This window comes from Homo sapiens, chromosome 3, assembly GCF_000001405.40.
Source record: "Homo sapiens chromosome 3, GRCh38.p14 Primary Assembly".
Lineage (NCBI taxonomy): Eukaryota > Metazoa > Chordata > Mammalia > Primates > Hominidae > Homo > Homo sapiens.
In genome coordinates this window covers 127,878,464-127,895,853 of record NC_000003.12, presented here as the reverse complement: position 1 = coordinate 127,895,853, position 17,390 = coordinate 127,878,464, and the positions used below count along the sequence as shown (strand labels likewise).

Here is a 17,390-nt window from a genome sequence, read left to right as displayed (position 1 = left end):
AAAAATATTATTTATTTGGAAAAATGAAATAATTTTGCAATTTGGAGTATTCTATCCAAGATCCAAATAATGCCTTTCCTTTTGTTGGAGTCATCTGTTATGTTCCTTGGTAGTATTGTTTTTTTTTCCTCTTCATGAACATTGCTTGTTTAGTTTATTTTTCAGATATTACATATTATTAATATTTCTTTCTCACTGTATTTTCTAACTGGTTAATGGTTGTCTAGTATAAGCGCTTGGTAAGTGGAGAGTGGATTCCCCCATCGCCCACCCCTCCTGCAGGGCTTCCCAAAGTCACACATTCCTATAATTGGGCATGCTGTACATTATATGTATATGCCTTATAGTGTGTGCATTTCTTGTATGTGAATTCTGCTTCCTGGGTTGAAGATATGATGGGAAAATATCATTGACTCTTGTACATGTTATAAATAAAGTTTTGGTGCCTCAAAAGAAATAGCACTCGAATCAGTAAGCCATCTCCCTGCCCTCTGATTTAAGATAGTTCTAACTTGGTGAGGCTTGCTTACTGTCAATTTTCCTCCAAACGTTAACTTTCTGCTTTCCTCGACTAGTATTGCCGTAGGCGCGATGGACTGGATGCATTGAGGCCATCCACAAGTGACTGGGTCTAAGACCTTTGATAGGAAGGCCACGGGCTGCTGGAGGTCACTGTGTTCTTGTGTCCGCACTCCTAAAGCTACCCCACCATCCACATTAACAAAAAGGTGGGGCCGGGCGCTGTGGCTCACGCCTGTAATCCCAGCACTTTGGGAGGCCAAGGCGGGCGGATCACGAGGTCAGGAGATCGAGACCATCCTGGCTAACACGGTGAAACCCCGTCTTTACTAAAAACACAAAAAATTAGCCGGGCATGGTGGCGGGCGCCTGTAGTCCCAGCTACTCGGGAGGCTGAGGCAGGAGGATGGCGTGAACCCGGGAGGTGGAGCTTGCAGTGAGCCGAGATCATGCCACTGCACTCCAGCCTGGGCGACAGAGCAAGACTCCATCTCAAAAAAAAAAAAAAAAAAAAAATGTGGGATGGCTTTTCTAGGGAGGGTAAGGCTAAAACAGGGGAAGTTATGAGCCTTTCTGTCAGCTCCTTGACTTGATCAACTTCCTCAGAAGTCCACAGGAGAGGGTTAGGCTTCTCCTGGGCAAGTTTTTGATGTAACAGTTTACTGTGCAGTGCATATGAGTCAATCCGTAAGTGGCAGTATGTGACTAACCCTAAAAATTTCCTGAGTTCTTGTTTAGTTTGAAGCAAGGGTAGGGACATGATTCCATCAATTCGTTCAGGCCCTATTCTTCACTTGCCTGCACTTATTAAGTGGCCTAAATATTTAACTTCAGGCTCTACATACTGAAGCTTCCTTTTTTTGAGACTCTTAGCTCCTCAAACTGCAGATGGTTAAGAATATGTGTAGAGAAGTTAGTTACCTTCTCTATATCTTTACCAGATATAAGAAGGTCATCCATGTACTGGAGAAGGCATATTTGTTCTGGAATGAAAACTTTTTCTAATGCTTGTTCTAAAATTTCACCAAAAATATTAGGGGAGTCTGTGAACCCTTGGGGCAAGACTGTCCATTGATATTGTTGTTTCCGCCCTCAGTGGAGATCCTCCTACTCAAAAGCAAATATATCTTGGCTATCTTTAGCCAGGGGGCATGCCCAAAATCAACCTTCAAATCTATTACAGTAAACCATTGATGATTATATGGAATCTTGCTGAGAATGGTGTAAGGACAGGGGACAACGGGGTGGGTAGTCTGAACTATTTGGTTGATAGCTCTAAGGTCCTGTACTAGCTGGTATGACCCGTCTGATTTCTTGACTGGCAGTATTGGGGGTGTTATAAGGGAACATACGGGACTTGAGAAGCCCATCTTTAATAAGGCCTTCGATTATACGTTTCAACCCTATCCTACCTTGTAGGGGAATAAGCTATTGCTTCCTTCTCACTACTTCTCCAGGGGTTTTTAGCTTGATGTGGATTGGAGGGACTCGGAGTTTCCCTCAGTTCCCTTCTTTGGACCAGACACTAGGATTAATATATTTTTCATCTGCAGTGGTGAGTAGGTTTAATGAGGTGAGGAATCCTCTTGGACTGACTTGTAGACCTATGCCCAACTTTAACATTAAATCCCCCCCAATAAATTAGTTTCTGCTTCAGGGATTAACAAGAACTGAATGTGAGCTGAGCGACCCTGCTATCTAACTTTGGTGCTTTCTAAAATTTTTACTCTACATCCTTCCCTTTTACCCCAGAGACTAAAAGCTCCTCTGAAGAAGAGACAACATTAGACAGGGGGAAACAAACAGAGGAGCGAGCAGCCCCTGAATTGAGTAAAAAGGTGATAATCTCATGTTTAGGTCCCACCTCTAAATGTATCAAGGGCTCCTGGTGGGACTCAAGATAAAAGAGATAGAGCCCCTGACACCCCTATTCTTCCTCGAAAGTCATGAGTGGAAGGGCTTCTTTCTCCTTTCTTAGTTCGGGACATTCCCTCTTGAAGTGGTCTGTTCTTCCACATCTATAGCACCTATCTTGCCCTTACTCCCTCTTAGTTCAGGGATTCTTTAACCCTGCTCCCCCATACTCTTTAGCGGGGCCTGGTAGACGAGGGCCTTGCCCCTCCAGATGGAGGCTGGGGTCCTTTAAAGAAGGGTTCGGCCCCTTTACAGTTTCTGGTTCCCTGGAAACTCTATCTAGAAGTACCTGGGTTTGGAGCCATCTGTTGGAAGGTGGGTAACATAAGTTTTGCCTTTTGTTTCTGTTTTTCTTTGTCCCTTCTCACGTATACTTTCTGAGCTTCTCTGAGAAGCTCACTTAGGGCATGGTCTTCCCAACTGTCTATCTTTTATAGCTTTTTTGAAATGTCTGGCCAACTTTTAGTGACAAATTGGAGTTTCAACATTCCTTGCCCAAGGGTATCGTCCAAATTGAGGCCTGCATGTTGCCTCATTTGCTCCCTCAGTCTATCTGGAAATCTCATAGGCCCTTCATCCTTTTCCTGTTGTATATCAAATGCTTTAGAAAGATTTTGGGTTCGGGGTGCTGATTCCTGAATTCCTTTTATTATCATCTCCCTTAAGTACTCCATATTTTCCCGGTGGTCTGCGTTGTTATTGTCCCACTGGGGGTCTCGGGTGGGGAATTTCTGGTCTGCGGTAGGAACATTTTCACCGGGAGGGTGCTCACATTCCCAAACTACCATAGCAGCCCTACAAATCATACTCCTTTCTTTCCTTGAAAAGGGGATGCCCAAGATAGACATTAACTTGACCCAAGTGTATAACTGAGGTCCTAAGAATTGGTCAATTTGATCTGCCCATAAGGGTCATCTAGTAGCAGTTTAAGCTCCTTTTTAAAATTCCGGACTTCTAAACTGGTTAAGAGAGCATTTACAAAGCCAGTGGCCTCCCCTCCTTGTGGCACTTATTTCAAATGGAAGAGCGTCGAGGCTGGCCCCTTAGGTACGGAGGGAAATGGGAAATTCTGAATATCTTTTTTACATTGTTCTATCTCATGCTGGAGTCCTTTTAGAGAGGGGTATTTAGGTTGGGAGGGAACAGGCTGGTGGGATGGTAATTCCCAAGAGTCAGGGTTATAAGGAAGAGGGATAATGTGAGTAGAGGAAGGATTTGGAATGGGATCTGAGGTGGCAGTGGCCGCCTGAGGGGAAGGATTGGGGACACTGAGCGAAGGAAGATAGTCTAGGGGATCTCATGCACTGGATTCTTTAGGCATGAGGGCTGGCTCCTCTGACTTTTCATTTGAGGTGCCAGATTGGGTTTTTCCCTATTTGTTTTTAAGGGAAAAAAGGGGACAGGTCCTTGCCTCCTTTCAATATCCTTCCAGTATTTTAACATGAGACCTAGGGGGCTATCCAGGGGGATATCCTTGTTACCATCTTTATCCCTCCCATCTTGATGATTTTGGGGTAAGGTGAAATTTTCCTTACTGGAAATTTCTCACCTTTTGGGATGAGGCTCAACTTCCCCTACTGGAAATTTCTTGCCTTTTCTACTCCTGGAGGTTTGTGTGAGGTTCAATCCCCTGAAATATGCAGAAGGCTCAACCCCTCAAACCAGGGGTGTCTTGCTTTGCCTGCCCTGGAAGCCTCAACCCCTTAAACCAGGGGATGTCTTGCCTTGCTGCCCTGGAAGGTTGACCTGTTTCCTGTTTCCTCCCTTTCCCCCTCTGAAGGTCCCTTGCACACTTCCCACTCATGTTGTCCTCTCTAGCTGCTCCCCCAACGGAGAATTAGGCCCCCTTAGCGTTGGCATGCTGGTATAAATCCCACGGCAGGATCTGTCCTAAGCCATACAAGGTAGCTATGGAACCATGGAGAGGGCCCACTCACTCTGTCCAGCAGTAGGACTTGTCACCATCCACACGAACAACACTGCAAGTAGGGTTGTTTGTGATCATTCACGCACACACACATTTAGCCCTCCAGAATTTGACCATCAAGGAAGTACTTTACCGGCTCCTGCAGCTTCTCCTTCCTTGGTCTGTGCACAGACCCGTCACCACAGTGTGTGAGGATCCTTTACCCTAGGCTGCTGGCCAGTTTCTTTCAGTATTGCTGAGAGCTTGGGTTATTCCTCGCACTGGGTGGGTCCTGATTTCTCACCCCTGAGGCTGCCACAAGGGGGCAGGGCGCACTTCCTCACAAGAGAGAACCAGAGACCGCCCCTGGAGGAAATGTAATCATGGGCAAGCCCCCAGACTGTTATAAATAAAGTTTCGTTGCAGCAAAAGAAATAGGACTTGAATATAAAATGTTCTTTTTTTTCTTCTCAGCAAGGCAATTTACTTCTATAGAAGGGTGTGCCCTCACAGATGGAGCAATGGTGAGCACACACCTGGACAAGGGAGGGGAAGGGGGTCTTATTCCTGACACATGTGGCCCCTGCTGCTGTGTCAGTCCCCTATTGGCTAGGGTTAGACCGCACAGGCTAAACTAATTCCAATTGGCTAATTTAAAGAGAGTGACAGGGTGAGTGGTTTGGCGGGAAAAATGGTTATGGCAGAGCAGGAAATCAGAATCAGAATGAGTCAGGGTGGAGCGGGTAATCGGAATGAGTCACAGTGGATCAGGTGATCGGAATGAGTCAGGGTGGAGCAGGTGATCAGAATGAGTCAGAGTGGAGCAGGTGATTGAAAAAGGTTGCTTTATGAGGAAGTTAAGTTTAAAAGTAGAAGGCAAAGAATTGAACATACTGACACATTAATTCTTTGAAGAGAAATTTGAACTCATATGTAACATACACAAGCTGACAGACTCATCTGCTCCATTGCGGGAGACCCCTTGGCTGGCTGGGTGTATCTCACTAAGGGGCAGAACAGCAGACACAGGCCATGGTTGTACACCATGGAGAAAAGTTAAGAGAGGCCCTTTTGACCGCCACTGAGTTTCCTGTACTTTCAGACTTGAAGAACTCAGCCCATGTAGATCTAAGGTCATGTATAATGACATTCCAATGCCTGTGGAGGGCCAAGAGGGCTGGAGGCATTTTTCTTTTTCTTTTGTTTTTGTTTGTTTTGAAAGATGCAATTGAGAAAACCAGGGATCCTTTTGATGTCATTTCATCATGGATCCTGTATTTCTGGTGCTGTGTAATTTGCATGATTGGCTCAGCAGTCTCCCTCTAGGAGCTGACTGCAGTACTGTGGTTTCTGAGGACAGGTATGCTGTTGTATTTTGCAGTTATGTCACTTTGTTTCATTACAAATGAGTCCATATGTGGCCACAGCACTGATCGGGCCATGAAATTCCAGAGACAGCTTATTACCAATAAGAGTTAAAGGGAGTGGTGTTGTGGCAGCCAGGGCCAGAAAGCAGTATTCTCTAGACTGCTTCAAAACGTTCTCTTATTAGCGCAGGCCCAGTCACCAACTTCTCTTCAAAGACCCGGTTTTGCAGGGTGAATAGTGAGATAACCATGGATTCTTTTATAGACCTGTGAAACTTTGTTGTTTTTATTGCAATTACTTCTGACTTGTTTAGTGGCTTTCCACCCCCTCCTGCCCCCTGCCTTGATTCTTTCAATCCCCTCCAGGGTGCTGTAACCATAAAAAGGTTACCAACCACTGGGGTAGTCACTTTAGGGCCAGGAAGGTGGGATTCAAATATAACTGTGTAACTGACAGAATGATTCATTACCTTGTAGGTCATTGGAAAAGACCAGAGTTTCTCAAACTGCGTTCCATGGGCTGATATGAATCATACAAATGTCCTAAGCACAAAAAGTTCTCAGGGTTCTGGGGCCAAATTGGCCTAGGAAATGCTGCATACTAATTCCCCCTCTCAGAGCTGTACAATGTACATTAGCATATTAAAAGTTCTGAGAAGTACAGCAGTAAAGAATCCAATTTTAATTCTGCTGAGTGATTAAGCGAGTTTATTGGTACAAGGAACAAGTTTCTTTTAGGCCAACAGGTTTCCCTTAACACCAGTTTTGGAAGGGTTAGAAGAGATTTAATGGAATTTTACCTCTTAGGTCATGGGGTCCCAGCATCCCATTTAAATGTGTGTCAATGTTGAATTATTAGAGCTAGATTTTAAATGAAAGGCAATCAAAACCAAATTCTGCATAAATATAATTTTGCTTGTTTGTTCGTAATGTCATTGGTGTATTTCAATACATTAGATACTCTAAGTGGTGGACCTTTCAACTCCCATGGGCTCGTTGTCACTCTTAGCAAATGACCTTCTAATGCATTCACTGATTAATCTATTCAAGTAATAGGTATTAAGGGACTCCTGAGTAAACAGCTCTGTGCTAAGTGGGAAGAAGCTGGAGACATTTTTGATTCTAGGAGTGGTAAGGGAAAAGAGAACCTGGAGGGTAAAAGAAGCCCTGTCATTCATGTGGCTCCCCGCCACACTGTCGGCAGGACTGTGTGATCAGCGCTGGGTGGCTGTGGGAGGAGAATTTCCAGTCTGAGCCTGGGAGGGGCAGTGGCTCAAGCCAGAAAGTAGGTCATCTTTTCATCTGGGGCCCTTGAGGGTTTTGCCAGGGACGCCGACACTCACCCACTAAATTCTGACAAGTAGCAGTTCACAGTGGCAACAGTACAGCTGTGTAACAGACCACCTCAGCACTCAATTGCTTTAAACAGTTCTCATTGGATGTTGCAGCTTGGCTGAATTAATCTGATCTAGGCTTGGTGGGGTGGCTTTTCTTTTCACTGCAGGTCCGTGGGTCAGCTGGGGTGTCTCCGCTCCTCGTGTCTCTTATCCTCCTTGGACCTAGCCAGGAATGCTCTCATGGGAATGGCAGAGGCAAAGATGGTAAGCTCAGCCATGCAAGTACTTTCAAGCCTCTGTTGCGTCTCCTCTGCTGACATCTCATTGGCCAAAGCACAGCAAGGATGGGGAAGTATACCTCGCCCCTATGGGTGAAAGTTACATGGCAAAGCCTATGGATGTCTACTCCCACAGCCTGGGAGCCAGTAATCCAGTCTGCCAAACTGTGTGATATGCCCCTTCCAGGAACCATGGAACCATGATGCCGTCATCCCTTCAGGGTTGTAAATTCCACCCAGAGTGTCTGAGAACTCAGCATTGGCTCTTGGATATGAGGAAGTTCTTTCTGGATCCAGTAAGAACTGAGGGCTGGCTGATGACTTGGAATAAAAAATAGCAGCCCAGATGTGATTGTTCATTTGTGTGTCAACTCGACTGGGCTAAGGAATGCCCAGATGGTTGGTAAAACATGACTCCTGGGTGTGCATGTAAGAGTGTTTCTGGAAGAGGTTAGCATTTGAAATGGTGGACTGAGTAAAAAATGTCTACCCTCCCCAGATTGGACATCACCTAACCCATTGAAGGCGTGATAGGACAAAAAGGCAGAGGAAGGGGGGATTCACTCTCTTCTTGAGCTGGGACATCCATCTTCTCCTGCCTTGGACATCACAGCACCTGGTTCTCAGGCCTGTGGACTTGACCGGGAGTTCTACCATCTGCCCTCCTGGTTCTCAGGACTTCGGGGCTGGGACTGAATTTTACCACCAGCTTTCCTGGTTCTCTAGCTGCAGACAGCAGGTGATGGGAGGGCTTCTCGGCCTCCATAATCATATGAGACCATTCCCCTAATAATTTTCCTAGAGAGCTGCATCTTCCTATTTTTCTCTGTCTTAGTCTCTCCCTCTCTTTATCTGTCTATAAATCTATATCTCCTGTTGGTTCTGTTTCCCTGGAGAACCTTTTTGTTTTTAGACAGTCTCACTCTGTCACCCAGCCTGGAGTGCAGTGGCATGATCTTGACTCACTGCAACCCCCGCTTCCTGAAGAACGTTGACTAGTACACCAGGGATGGAAGCGTGGTCAGGTGAGCAGGCTGATTCCCCAGACTTTGCATTCCAGCCACATCCTCCTTCTTTGTAGACTCAGGCTGTCACAAGCTAATGGGTTCTTCTTGCGTGTTGCCCACTGTCCCCCAAAAAATGAGAACAGCAGGTGTTGCAGCAAAGAAAGAGTTTACTAATTGCAGGGCCAGCCAAGCATGGAGAACAGGAGAAACTTCTTAAGCCTGTCCCCCGGAGAATTCGGAGGCTAGAGTTTTTTAATGGTACTTTGGCAGATGGGGCTTGGGAACTGGAATAATTGTATGGGTGGGAACAAAATAACAGGTGTGTCTAAAACTGCCTTTTAGTAGCTGAGTCAGTTCCTGGGAGTTGGGGAGTGGGTCTTAGGACCAGGTGGCATCTGTTTGTCTGTTGAAATGCTAAATCTAAAAAAATATCTCAAAGACTAGTTATTTAGTTTTCACAATGGTGTAGGAGTACTTGGGAAGCTTTTAAATCATGTAACCCCTGGTTACATGACTCTGGGGCAATAAGCAACTTGTAGAAAACACACTAAGCAATGGCAGGTCATTGTTTATGCCTATTCTTTAGCAAAGCTCAAGCCCCTGCCATAATTCTAATCTTATCTTATTAATGCAGCTTTGGTCTCTGAAAAAGGAGGGGGTCAGTTTTCCTTGCCTCAAACTTTAACTAAATTCCTCTTATGGTTATTTTGGCCTCTGCGCTAGAATAAGCAAAAAACAATTTAACCTGTGAGGTTAGAATCAAGATGGAGCCCATCATGTTAGATTTATTTCATTACTTACAATTCTGCAAAGGCACTTTCAAGGCTGTCTACAGTATAGCTGAAGGTCAGGCCTGCAGCTAGCACGTGCAGTGCTTTTATGCAAATTAGAAGACGGCATTTCCACCCAGTCCCTGTTATCATGAGGATGAACTCCAACCAGCCGGAAGATGACAGGGGAAACCTCAGAAAAGGATTGGATGCTGAATACATTTGACAACAGACCTAAGGCAAAAACAAAGAAAGGGAACAGATGAATGGCATAGAGTGGGGCAGACTCTTTGTGAAATGGCCTTGTGCCCACATGACTCTGGACTTGGCCCTTGTCTGGTCACTGGAACAACAGTAGACGAATGCAGGTGGAGACTTGAGCAGCGCTTGTGTGTTGGGGCTCGCCCCTCCGTGCTGCTGCGAGCCCCCCTGTGCCCATGTGAACAAGCCCAGGCTGGCCTGCTGCTTGATTACAGACATATGGCTGTGGCCTCAGCTGACAGCAAGCCAGACCTGGCAGTCAGGCCCCTCAAGACCAGCCACACTGCCGTCTCCCGAACTAATGATGTGAAGAGCCACTCAGCCAACCCACAGAACCATGGGAGATAATGACTTCGTTGTTTTAAGCCACTAAATTTAGGGGTGTTTTGTTAAACAGAGAAAGCTAAATGATACAGGATGCCAGTGTTATATGTGCCGTGGCAATGTCTGAATCAGGTAGAGAGCAGAACAGCTTGTGTACTACCTTGTCTGTAATGCTGACAAATCATATTGTCCAAATTTAAGAACACTGAAGAATGAAAAGATCACCATTAAGCAAAAACAGTGTTATTGCCTAAATAACAATGGAGTTTGAGACCAGCCTGGCCAACATGGCAAAACCCCGTCTCTACTAAAAATACAAAAATTAGCCGGGCGTGGTGGTGCACGACTGTAGTCCCAGCTACTCGGGAGGCTGAGGCAGGAGAATCACTTGAACCTGGGAGGTTGAGGTTACAGTGAGCCAAGATCAGGCCATTGCACTCCAGCCTGGGTGACAGAACGAAATTCCATCTCAAGAAAAACAAAAGAAAGAAATGTAAGAAGAAATGAACGAAAACACACCAATAATAGACCTTAATTTACATGTTTCAGTCTGACACAGATAAAGTTGACAAAATTGTTCTATCAATTTCACTATTTTGTAGGCATTATAAATAAAGATCATATAGTTCTAAGGGAAAAGTATGAGAAACAATAGATCATGCAAGTGTGTGACTGTGTATCTGATGAATCTGTGCATGCTGTGTGTTTAGAGGTGTGTAAAGATGAAAGAGCCTTAGGGACATATGATAAATTGTTTAAGTGAAAAGAATTGTAAGTCTATAAATTTTAGCAAATTGTTTTGATGATTTCAGCCTTTTAAGAAATATGCTAATTAATTATTTAACATAAATCTATATGGGCTGGGCATGGTGGCTCATGACTGTAATCACAGCACTTTGGGAGGCTCGAGGTAGGAGGATCGCTTGAGTTCAGGAGTCCAAAACCAGCCTGGGCAACATGGTGAAACCCCATCTCTACAAAAGATACAACAAAATTAGCCAGGCGTGGTGGCGCACACCTGTAGTCCCAGTTACTTGGGAGACTGAGGTGAGAGGATTGCTTGCACCCGGAGTTCGAGGCTGCAGTGAGCTGAGATCATACCACTGCACTCCAGTCTGAGCAACAGAGTGAGACCCTGTCTCAATAAATAAATAAATAAGTAAAATCTATATGTTCATTTAGAGAACAGCCATGGCAACGCTAGCCTGTGCCAGGGTCCATATAGGGACATCCAAATTGAAATGCAGTCATTTATGAGTTAATTCATCAAGTTACTAGCCTCAGAGCATCCGGTTTAAAACAATTTAAAAGGTTAGGCTTCACAATAAGAGTATAGTCAGGATGCCGAGTAATGCATTTGCTGTTTTCTGTGCTCTAAACATCACCCTTACCATGGAAAAAATATTTCTTACCATTCTTCCATTGCAATCCTTGGCACTTAGCTAAAAGAACAGAAGTATCTGAAGCAGATACATTAAGTTTTCAGAGAATTACATTCTATTGGGGAGGGGAAGGAGGATAAAATAATAAAATTCTGAGGAATTTGGTTTCAAATAAAGAAACCGAGGCCCTGGTTGTCTAAATAGCGTTGCACAGCTAGGTAGAAGGATGACTGAGATTAGAACAAAGTTTACTGCTTTCCAGGAAGAAAAATGTTCAGTTTCTTCTAGCTCTGCCATCTGAATATTCGTTAGACTTAGAACCACGCCTAATTTAGGATAAATGTTATCTTTCATATGATACATTTTATATGTGTTAATCTATCTATGAAGTGTTGTCAACATATTTATAATTTGCTGGGCCTTTAAGAGGTATCTTCTGGAAGCCTCATACCCTTGCATTTTATAATCTTTAAGATGGTTAGTTCTTCCATGACATCACATTAATACATTAGCAGATGCTCTTTCATTGGTTCTCTCTCATGGCCACTGGTCCCTTTTCCACTATTGCAGCTGTTTTGCTGACCTTATTTTCTCACTGGGAATATGCCCAGTCAGCTGTGGAAAACAAAACCCAAGAAACACAAAATTTAACAGTTGCATACATTTATTTAAAAATAACAATGAATGCAGGGCTTCTTATGTTAAAAATCATCTATACACATGTTTCAAAGCCAAAGTGCACCAAATTTCCAAAATAAAGCTTTTGGAAACATTAGCGGGCGTGAGTGGACTTGGTAAGCTGATGGTCCCCAAGCCAGATGTGAAGATAAAATGCTGTGGCGAGACGCAGCAGTGTTTTCCATGTTAAACACATTTTCAAAACTAGTAAACATTGTGACTTGATAAGACCTCGAATCAATAAAGGGACTCAGGGTAGAATCTAAGCATGTTCTACAAATGGAAGTCTGTTAAGATGAACTCTTAAAGACTTGGGTTATATACAGGTAGTCAAAAATATTTTAAAGTGGCTGGGCACAGTGGCTCACGCCTGAAATCTCAGCATTTTGGAAGGCTGACGTGGGTGGATCATTTGAGGTCAGGAGTTTGAGACCAGCCAGGTCAACATGGTGAAACCCCACCTCTACTAAAAATACAAAAATTAGCCAGGTGTGGTGGCATGCGCCTGTGATCCCAGCTACTCAGGGGACTGAGGCAGGAGAATCGCTTGAACCCGGGAGGTGGAGGTTGCAGTGAACCTCCACCACTGCACTCCAGCCTGGACAACAGAGTGAGACTCTGTCTCAAAAAAAATATATATATATATAATGTACATATATGTGTATATGTGTATATATGTGTATGTGTGTGTGTATGTATATATATATATATATATATATATATATTAAAGCATCTGGAGAGTGCCCAGTTTTGCCATAATGGATTGTTAATATTAATTGTCTTCGTGTTTCTTTCCATTTCATAGATTATTTGGGATAAACCTTGAATCCTATTCTTGGCAGCTATAGCAAGTGCCCAGAATATTCCTGGGATCCTCCTGACTGCCCACCTGGAGCATGCCTTCTTATTTTTATTTTTAACCTTAGCTGGATTGTGGGGGAGAGGTGTGGGGCAGATATCATTCATTACCATTTCAAATGCAAGAGACTAATATATGTAAAAAAGCTGTCTGTTTTGAGTTGTCATTGCTATTCCTCCATTAGGGCATATTCTCAAGATCTTCTGTCTTTTTAAAATGCAATACAAGCCAACAGCTATTCAGGGGTTTCTAATTTCTCATGTATTTGGTCTGTAATAGAATATATTAGTATATTTAAAAGCCATTGTCCTTTTTTATTATATAATCTGTATTTTTGAGATCCTTTGAGCTTTTTTCTTGAATTGTGCTTTCCTTCCAATAATGGCAATTTTGTAACTCCTGTGTCTAAGGAAGGGTTCAGAATAAGAACACGGTAAATGAATAGAATGTCAACTTGAATGTGACAGGCTGTAAGACCATGGCTGATGGGAAAGAGGAGGAAACAGAGGCCTGTGGTGGGGATCAACTCAGCTACAGGGTAGGCTCAGAGGGAGACAGGCAGTAATTGAGTTTTTAATGTTCCATTGCATTAGGTAATTTTTTTTTTTTTTTTTTTTTTTTTTTTTTTGAGACGGAGTCTCGCTCTGTCGCCCAGGCCGGACTGCGGACTGCAGTGGTGCAATCTCGGCTCACTGCAAGCTCCGCTTCCCGGGTTCACGCCATTCTCCTGCCTCAGCCTCCCCAGTAGCTGGGACTACAGGCGTCCGCCACCGCGCCCGGCTAATTTTTTGTATTTTTAGTAGAGACGGGGTTTCACCTTGTTAGCCAGGATGGTCTCGATCTCCTGACCTCATGATCCACCCGCCTCGGCCTCCCAAAGTGCTGGGATTACAGGCGTGAGCCACCGCACCCAGCCTGCATTAGGTAATTTTGAATCATCCTCTTGTTTGTGCAGATAGTAACTTACTCAAAGACTTCCAGTCCGGTTGTGATGGAGTAGCATTAGACTTACCATTCTATCATGAAGACTATAACAAATGCACAAAACATGTGAAACAATGGTTTTCAGGCCTTGGACAGTGGCTTAAAGCCTTGAGCTGCCTTGAGCCAAGGGAGGTACTTGATATTTATCCTGGCTTTCTGCTTGAAGTTGGTTTCTAAACCACAGTGGGGGATAATTTAGTCAAGCAAAGAGAGCAGCAGGGAAGGGAAGCTGGGCAGGGAATCTGGAAACATTGCTTGTGGCTTCTGTGACAGTGGCAATTTGTGTGTCAGGGTACCAGATGAGAGACAATTCCTTAACTTTGTATAAGGCCTCCCTTAAGGTCCTTGGCTAAATCTTAAACTGAACATGTCCGGGGCAAGACACTATGATGCCTAATAGAGAACAGCTCCTAGGAACAGAGAGTTGATCAGAGATTTCAATGATAACTCATCATTGAAGAATTTCAGCCAGTCAAGCCATAGACCTTGGTGGGCATCTCTGGCATTTAATTAAAACCCCAGAAAGGTCATTTCATTAAGAGTAAGAACCATGCTATAGAAGTAAGGGCTGTGCCTGATGACTAAGGGAAACATTGAAATAGACATGTCGAAAAGCCCAGCCTCAGCAAAATTGAAGGGATCCACCAGACTCCCTGAACAAAACTCAGCCCGCTTTAGAGAAAGGTAACAAAATTCAGAGTTTCTAGGAGTCACACAATGTCTGGCATATGCTGAAAAATCAGTTCTATGTGTGAAGAAGGAAAAAAATGTGATGGTTTATCAAAAGGAGGAAAAATGATCAAAAGAGACAGACTCAAAGGTGAACTAGATGTTGGAATTAGCAGAGAATAGTCTTTAAATAATTGTTATAAATATGTTAAAGCAGAGGTCCCCAACCCTTGTGCCACAAACCGGTACTAGTCCATGGCCTGTTAGGAACGACGCCACACAGCAGGAAGTGAGTGGCGGGCAAGCGAGATCTGTATTTACATCCACTCCCCCTCATTCACATTACTGCCTGAGTTCCACCTCCTGTCAGATCAGTGGTGGCATTAGATTCTCATAGGAGCATGAATCCTATTGTGAACTGCACATGGGAGGGACCTAGGTTGCACTTTCCTTATGATAATCTAAAGCCTGATGATCTGAGGGGAGCTCAGGCAGTGATGTTAGTGCTAGGGAGTGGCTGCAAATACAGGTTAACATTAGCAGACAGTTTTCACTGCACAGAGACCATAAGACCACAATAAATCCACTGCTTGCAGGCTAATATCAAAACCCTACCAGTGAGTGGCAAGTGACAATTAAGCTGCAATTGGTGGCTGGCAAGTGAGTCAATATACTTCAGTTGTACAGCTGCATCTGGTGGCCTTAAAAGTATGTTTGAGACAACTTCAAATCCCCATATGTTCTGGATTAAAGTCAAGGCGGAGTATCCTGAGATTGCCACAAAAGCACTGAAAAACCTGCTTCCATTTCCAGCATCCTCTGTTTGTGAAGCAGGGTTTTCTGCAGTGACAGCAACCAAAACGAGATACTGGACAAAATGAGAACAGACTGGACATAAGCAACACACTTCAGGTATCTCTTCTCCCATCACCCCCAGATGGGACTATCTAGTTGCAGGAAAACAAGCTCAGGGCTCCCACTGATTCTTTGTTATGGTGAGTTGTATAATTATTTCATTGTATATTACAATGTAATAATAATAAAAAAAAGTGCACAATAAATGTAATGTGCTTGAAACATCCCGAAACCATCCCCACCCCCACCCTCATCAGTGGAAAAATTGTGCCAAAAAGGTTGGGGACTGCTGTGCTAAATAACTTACTGGAAAAAGTTGATGAAATGATGGAAAATTTTAGCAGAGAAATTGAAACTCTAAAAAAGAACCAATTAGAAATTATGGAACAGAAAAATATCTGAAATGATGAGCTCATCAGAAGGGCTTAACAGCAGACCAGACACAATAAATGAAAGAATAAGTAAACACAAAACAGATTGTAGAAATTACCTAAGTAAAGCATGGAAAGGAAAAAGAATTTCAGCTGGGTGCAGTGGCTCACGCCTGTAATCCCAGCACTTTGGGAAGCCGAGGCTGGTGTATCACCTGAGGTCAGGGGTTCGAGACCAGCCTGGCCAACATAGTGAAACCCTGTCTCTACTAAAAATACAAAAATTCGCTGGGTGTGGTAGCACATGCCTGTAATCCCAGCTACTCAGGAGGCTGAGGCAGAATTGCTTGAATCTGGAAGGCAGAGGTTGCAGTGAGCTGAGATTGTGCCATTGCACTCCAGCCTGGGAAATATTAAAGGAGGTTCTTCAGGGTCACTATGCATTGAATGTTTGTGTCTCCCAAATTCATATGTTGAACCCTAATCCCCAATTGGATCATATTCAGAGGTGGAGCCTTTGGGAGGTGATTAGAATTAAGTTAGGTCATGAGGTTGGGGACCTCCTGGTGGAATTAATGCCCTTATAAAAAGAGGAAGAGACATGAGATCTCTGTGTGTAAATGCACAAGGGAAGGCTGTGTGAGGGAGGACATAACCTGGAAGAGAGCCCTCACCAAGGACTCAGTGTGGCTGGCACCCTGACCTAACTCCAACCTCCAGAACCGTGAGAAAATAGATTTCTATTGTTTAAGCCCCCCAGACTATCGTATTCTGTTATAGCAACCCGAACTAAGACAAGGGTGAGGATAAAAGATCCCAGTTGGAAGCCCATATCTTCAAGAAGGAATGAAGGCCACTAGAAGCAGAAATGGTTAGATAAATAGAAAAGAACAGTTCAAAAAATACATTTTAGAGCCTACTGACCACTTGAAATAACTAATAACAGAGTATGGGTGGATTTATATAATATGTAGAGGTAAAATATATAATACGTAACCTAAAGGGGAGTGAGTGGTTAAAAGAAATTAAACTGTTGTAAGTTTCTAGCATTGTACATGAAGTTGTATATCAACTTAAGGTAGAGTATGATAAGTTAAGGAGGCATATTATAATCCCTAGAGCAACAACTAGGTATAAAATAAAGAGTTATTACTAATTGAATGCAAAAGATAAAAAGGAATAATAAAAATGCTTGATTAATTCAGAAGTCTGGAAAGGAGAAACAATGGATGAGAAGGGACAAGTGGAAACAAAACAGAAAGATGGCAGACTTACACCCAACCATATGAGTAGTTCAAAACGTAAATGGAATAAACACACCAATGAAACAAGAGAGTTTGTTTGGACAGAAAAAAGAAAACTTGACCCTATAATGTTTACAAGAGACTATCTTTAAATATAAGGATACAGAAAGGTTAAAAGTAAAATAATGGAAAAAGAAACAGTATAAGAAAGCAGATGCAGCTATATTAATATCATTGCTATACTGATATAGCTGATGACCTACATTAATATTTCCAGGGAGAAGGGTGTGCTTTTCATCCTTATGATAAAGAATAATGATAAAGGGTTAATTCTTCAGGAAGTGTTAACTGTCCTAAAGTGTATTCACCCTGTATGCCTCAGTAATTTATAGAACTAAGATTTTAAAAAAGTCAAATTCACATTATGCCATTTCTCTTTCAATAACTGATAGAATAATAAGCAGACAAAAAATGGATAAAGATATATAAGATTTGAACCACACTATAAACCAATTTGAACTAATTGGTCAAAATTTGAGAACATTATACCCAACAACTGAAGAATATGTATTCTTTTCAAATGGATATGAAACATCACCAGAATAGATCATATTGTGGACCATAAATAATTTTGGATAAATGTCAAAAGTTTAAAATCAAACAGA

General features: G+C 43.2%; 1 long non-coding RNA gene across 3 annotated transcripts in view, besides 1 other annotated feature; it reads left to right on the top strand.

The window, feature by feature from the left end:
• The window catches only part of LOC107986129 (uncharacterized), a 90,956-nt gene that overhangs the window by 27,397 nt on the left and 46,169 nt on the right, over window positions 1-17,390 (top strand). For 2 of the 3 annotated variants that reach the window (XR_001740898.2, XR_007096070.1), the window contains exon 1: window positions 7,198-7,307. The exons of the other annotated variant lie outside the window; for it this stretch is intronic. This is a non-coding gene — a long non-coding RNA (uncharacterized LOC107986129). Of the gene's footprint in view, window positions 1-7,197; window positions 7,308-17,390 lie in introns of those variants that run through there. 3 annotated transcript variants of the gene reach the window in all.
• Window positions 5,014-5,203: an enhancer, noted in NCBI's record as "active region_20475". NCBI's record gives its function as "activates an Ori minimal core promoter by ATAC-STARR-seq in GM12878 lymphoblastoid cells {active_cell/tissue: GM12878}" and the evidence as "EXISTENCE:reporter gene assay evidence [ECO:0000049][PMID:35858748]".